The following is a 5,293-nucleotide window of genomic DNA, read 5'->3' as shown; positions in this document are numbered from 1 at the left end:
GCGCCTCTGCTGTCACGGCCTGGAGTGCCGCTGAGCCCCAAGGGCAGATCCCGAGTGGAGGACACTGCACAGCCCTTCTGAGCCTCCTCTCCACATGCTGTGGGTGGTGGGCTGGGCCCCGGGAGCTCTAAGCCAGGCCCTGGTCTGTGACACCCTCCTCGGGCCACCAGACAGAGCAGGGTTGATTTGCAGAGCAAGCAAAGCCTCAGAATGTGCCTTCCAGGCCATGGTGGGTAGCAAGAGGCAGGACTCTTCTAGAAGTAGGGGTCTGGCCTGAGGCTACATCCTTCGCAGGACGGTGCTGGTGGCCCCGGGCTCTCCCGGCAAATCCCTGCAGCCCCAGGTCTCCCTGCCGTGCTGGAAGGAGGGCCGCTTAGGACCGAGGGAAAACCCTCCTGTGGGTGGGAGGCCGGGGTCCTAGGAGGTTGGCCTTGGATCTGCAGGGCCTGCTCTGCGGGACCCGGAGAAGCCACTTGGAGAGGGAGCTCTGGAGCCACAGGGTCACGACTGTGTGTTGCTCAGATCTGAAGGTTTGTGAAGCCTAGAGGTCGGGTGACGGGCCAGGCTCACGGGACGCCCTTGCTTCACGAACATCTCTCCCTGAACCACCACGAGGCCTGGTCAAAGGGAGTTCACTCTTGGCGGAGAGAAAGGAGACACGTCTCACACGCCTGACGGGGAAAGAACAGGAGCGAGCAGCTGTTCCCGCCAGGCCGATGAGGAGACTGAGGTTCAGAGAGGAACCCAGGCAGCCGGTGGGCAGCAGTCTGGGGCCCCAGCGCTGTGATGCTCCCCTGCCCAGGTCCTGGTTAGGAGCCTAGTCTAACGGGACTCCCTGATACCTGAGGGGCCATGCCATCCCACAGGGCACCCTGAACACCAGCTGTTGGCCATTCCCCTCCCCCTCCCCTCCCCTGCAGGAAGCAACGTACAGAACCAAGCCAGGGCTGATCTTGTGGGGCTCGGGACTGTGTGGAGCCCAGAACACGGCCGAGGCTCCCCGGCTCCCGCAGCCCAGAGGCAAGACCCAGGCTGAGGCCCGGGGAGGCTCCTCTGTGCCCCTCCCCACAGGTCACTCCCGGAGCCACCCATGCCCCTGGGTCAGAGTCAGGGCTCTTGGACGGCCTCTTTTCCTGGAAGCCATGAGGGCTTCTGGGTTACGTGGCCCAGCCAGCCCAGTGGGTGACCAGGGTGGGGATGGTCACGCGCTCAGCAGAAGGCTAGCCCACGTTTCCGGGGCCCCCAGCGGCTGGGAAACTCCCAGGGGCCGGGCCCTCCTCACCCAGTCTCCCTTCCTCCTTCTCTGGACTGGCCTGGCTGGACCACACCTGGGGCCGTGGCCACCTGTGCCCCCTTTTCTCAGCCTGTTCTTCTTTGGGCCTCCTGGGACACTCAAGCACCCCAGGACAAGTCAGGGCCAGCAGACTCCGCCTGCAAAGAGGGCCCCCATCGCAGAAGCCCTTGGAGACGTCAGCCCTTACGGTGCAGAGGGGAGATGGAGCCACCGTGCAAAGGATGCTCCAGCCTCACAGCCAGGAGGCTGGATAAGGCCGAGTGCACCAGGCCCTTGGGCAGCCCAGTGGGCAGAGCCCAGAAGAGGGGGCCACACGGCCTGGCCTAAGGAGCAGGGTGGGGACCCCGCACCAGGCAGACACCGTCAAGCCTCCTCATGCCCCCTTGGCCTTCCCTTACTTGTCTGGGGCTCCCTTCCTGCAATCAAAGAGCCCCTGGCACCTCCAGCCCTTGGGCCAGGGGACCTGGACCCCACCCCCATGCGTCCCTAGAAGCTAAAGGGACCCTGTGGAAGGGGGCTGGACTTAGGCTTCTTGCCCCCCAGGTAGGCATCAGGGGAGCAGGGCAGGTCAACGGCTGCTCAGAAGCCTGGCAGGGTTTGCAGGGCGTGGGCTGCCCCAAGCTCATCTGCACAGAGCGCTGACTTCCGGCCCCAGGACCAGAGCAGGAGACATGGCCGGGGAAGAAGAGCAAAGGTAGAAAGTGAAGTGCCGGCGGGGACGGGGGTGCTGGCCCAGGAGTCATGTGTGCTGGCCTGGGAGGGTAGAGAGCGGGGCGCCGGCGGTGGGGGCAGGTGGGGGTGCTGGCCCAGGAGGCAGTGCGCTGGCCTGGGAGGGTAGAGAGTGGGGTGCTAGCGGTGGGGGGCAGGTGGGGGTGGCCCAGGAGGCACGTGTGCCAGCCTGGGACCCAGGGGTTGTGGGACTGTCCCTCCAAGCCAGGGGTCCTGGCTTTGTCCTTGAATCAACTCATGCTGTCAGGAGCAGCCAGGCCGCAGGGGTCAAAGGTGACCACAGGCTCCAGCAGCTTTCCTGGGCCCAGAATCCCCGGTCCAGGATGGGCCTGGAGCGTGACCACCACCATAAGCCCCCAGACACACTTCATCCAGCCACCCTTGAGGGCGGGTCCCGGGTAGAGAGGGGCTCCCCGTTTCCCTTTGGGCCCTGTGTTTCTATGGGGGCACCCAAAACCCAGCGTTTTTTGGCTTCTCTGCAGGCCTCAGTGCATACCTTCAGCAGCCCCTCAAGCCCTCCCGCCCTGTCCTCTCCCCAGCTCCCACTGACCTCACTCCCTCCCCTGCCCCTGCAGCCCTCCTGCCGCCATGGCCGCCCCGCTCTGTCACCCTCCTCTTGTCAGAACCCATCCTCGTCCACAGCCCGTCCTTCCCACCGTCTCTGCTCTGGGCTCTGGGACCCTGCTTGGTCCCCGCCATGCCCCTTAATTGTGGGGTGTCTCAAACACTCCTGTGATTCTCACAGCCTTTTTGAGGCTGGGTGGTCCCAGACCCCCACCACCACCAGGAGACCCTGCAGCTCCTCAACCTCCCCTTGTCTGTGGGTCTCCATCAGCTTTGGGTCCTTGGGCCAGGTTGCCTCATTCCCATCACCCCGCCAAGCCTGGGCCCCGGGCTTCACCCCTCACCCCCTGCCCTACCTCGCTCCAGGCTGGACACAGCCATGCCCTCATGGGCTCCCCCTGCTCTGCTGATCCTGCTGTCTCCATGGCGATGGAAGCTTTGGAGAGCTGGGGCTGAGCCCCTGGAGGCCTAAGCTGGAGTTGGTGCACAGTCCCTCCCGGAAAACTGCAAGTTTCCCACTCCTTGTGGGGGAGCAGCAGGGCCCCTGTGTGGGCATGGATGAGGGGTTCCCACTCCTCGTGGGGGAGCAGCAGGGGTGAGGGGTGCAGGGACGGGGCCACCTTTGCAAGGAATCTCCCCACCCACCCTGGGGCTTCACGCTCCTCACCGTGGGGGTGGAGGCTGGAGGTCAGCATTTCCCCCAGTGCCCAGCATCCCTTCGCCCTTTCGGTAACCAGACCTTGAAAATCACTACGAAACTTCCTGGGTGCAGGTGGCCTCAGCTGTTAGCCCAGGGCCCTGGCAGGAGGCTGCTGGCCCGTCTGGCCAGGTGTTGGCCACTGGCCCGTGGAAGCCAGGGATTGGTTAGGGGAGCTGCTCCTAGCTGCTATTTTACTTCTTCATAGTTTTCGATCATAAGGTATTTTTCTCCTCTTAAAACTTCTCCCCAGGTGGCTCCTGTAATTCATTTGGGGGCGTGAGGTGAAGACGGGGCCAGCGCCCCTGGGGCAGCTGAGACCAGGGCGGGGAAGACCATAAATCAGGCAGGAGCCAGTGCCCGGTGCCCCAAGGTGAGCACATGGAGGGACAGTGACTGCTGGTCCTGGGAGCGAGCACAGAGCCCACGGGAAAGCGAGGAGCTCAGTAGGAAAGTGAGGAGCCCACCAGGAAAGCGCGGAGCCCAAGGGAAAGCGCGGAGCCCACTGGGAAAGCGAGGAGCCCACGGGAAAGCGAGGAGCCCAGTGGGAAAGTGCAGAGCCCGCGGGAAAGGAAGGAGCCCACGAGAAAGCGCAGAGCCCACGGGAAAGGGAGGAGCCCACGGGAAATCAGGGCTGCACTGCACACCAGTTCAGATGCTTCCAGTGTCCGCTGGGCGCCGGTCCGTCCCAGAAGAAGGTGGGTGCTCAGGGGCACCCTCAGCAATGTGCTGTGTCCACACCTGGGGGCTGCTTCTGAAGGAGGAGGGGGATTTGCAGGAGGAGGGGAGAAGCCGAGGAAGAAGGAAAGACCCCAGGGCCAGTTGCGGGGCCGCCCAGCTGGGCTGCTGCTGGGCAGGGGGACATGTGCGGACAGATGTGGAGCTTGGATTTCATCCTGTAAATTCAACCTGCACTGACCAGGCCTATGTCTGCCTGAGAATCAGCCTGGGGTTCCTTCAGCGCACGCATACAGAATCCTAAAAGGCCGTGGGAAGCAGCCCGAACCTTTCCTTAAATCGCAGAAGGGAGCAAGGGAAGAATCCACATGGCGGACAGGCTGAGATCTCAAATCCCAGTAATCACTATGACATGGTTAAGAAATAAGGTGCAAATCCCACCAACAATTCCAAAAGGAAACTTCATATGCAAACCAAAATCACATCAATCAGCTGAGTCTTCATTTTCTTCACATGCCCACAAAAATAAGTATCCCTGGGAGGACAGTGACGGGAGGCAGAGGCAGGCTAAGTCCTCGCACACGGGGAGATGGTTCCTCACACACGTGGTCAGAGAAAAATACGGCAAGTACCAGAAAATTAAAACAGGATGAATATCTCTCTAACAATTAGCAAAAACTGGAGTGAAATGTACCTGCCAAGGGTGAGAAAACAGCAAACACACAGAGCAGCACCAAGAAATCGTCGCCCTGAGATGACGGGAGCAGACGTATGACTGGCAATGGCAAGAGCAAAACACATGAGCGGATTTTCCCCTCGCAGCCTCAGATCTGCTTTCTGTCCTTGTGGGTTTGCCTCCTCTGGGTACGTTCTGAGTTAATTTTTGTATAAGTTATGAGACTTAGGTCAAAGTTCCTTTTTTTTTTTTTTTTTGGCCTGTAGATGTCTGATTCTTCCAGCACCATTTGTTGAAAAGCTACTCTTCTTCCACTGAATTGTTTTTATACCTTTGTCAAAAATCAGGTGGGCCTATTTGTGTGGGTCAGTTTCTGGGTTTTCTGTTCTGTTCTGTTTTGTTCCGTTGGTTCAAGAGTCTACCCTGATGCACACACGTCACTTTCTCAACATTGTCACAATGGATGAGGCTTTAATATCCACGCCAGCTAGAGTGATGCCTCCACTTTTTTCTCCCTTGTTTCAGGATTGGTTTTGTTTGTTTGTTTGTTTGAGACGGAGTCCCGCTCTGTCGCCCAGGCTGGAGTGCAGTGGCATGATCTTGGCTCACTAGAATCTGTGCCTCCCGGGTTCAAGTGATTCTCCTGCCTCAGCCT

At 60.4% G+C, this 5,293-nt stretch overlaps 1 long non-coding RNA gene across 1 annotated transcript, besides 1 other annotated feature; it reads left to right on the top strand.

The window, feature by feature from the left end:
- Positions 1,123-1,232: an enhancer, noted in NCBI's record as "active region_11392". NCBI's record gives its function as "activates an Ori minimal core promoter by ATAC-STARR-seq in GM12878 lymphoblastoid cells {active_cell/tissue: GM12878}" and the evidence as "EXISTENCE:reporter gene assay evidence [ECO:0000049][PMID:35858748]".
- Positions 1,337-4,847, top strand: LOC105371411 (uncharacterized). Its single transcript, XR_001752336.2, has 3 exons — positions 1,337-1,988; positions 3,538-3,657; positions 4,635-4,847. It is a non-coding gene; the product is annotated as an uncharacterized LOC105371411 (long non-coding RNA).
- The last annotated feature ends 446 nt before the right edge of the window (positions 4,848-5,293 follow it).

This window comes from Homo sapiens, chromosome 16, assembly GCF_000001405.40.
Source record: "Homo sapiens chromosome 16, GRCh38.p14 Primary Assembly".
Lineage (NCBI taxonomy): Eukaryota > Metazoa > Chordata > Mammalia > Primates > Hominidae > Homo > Homo sapiens.
The sequence above is the reverse complement of the archived record's forward strand: the minus strand, read 5'-3'. Positions and strand labels throughout refer to the sequence as shown.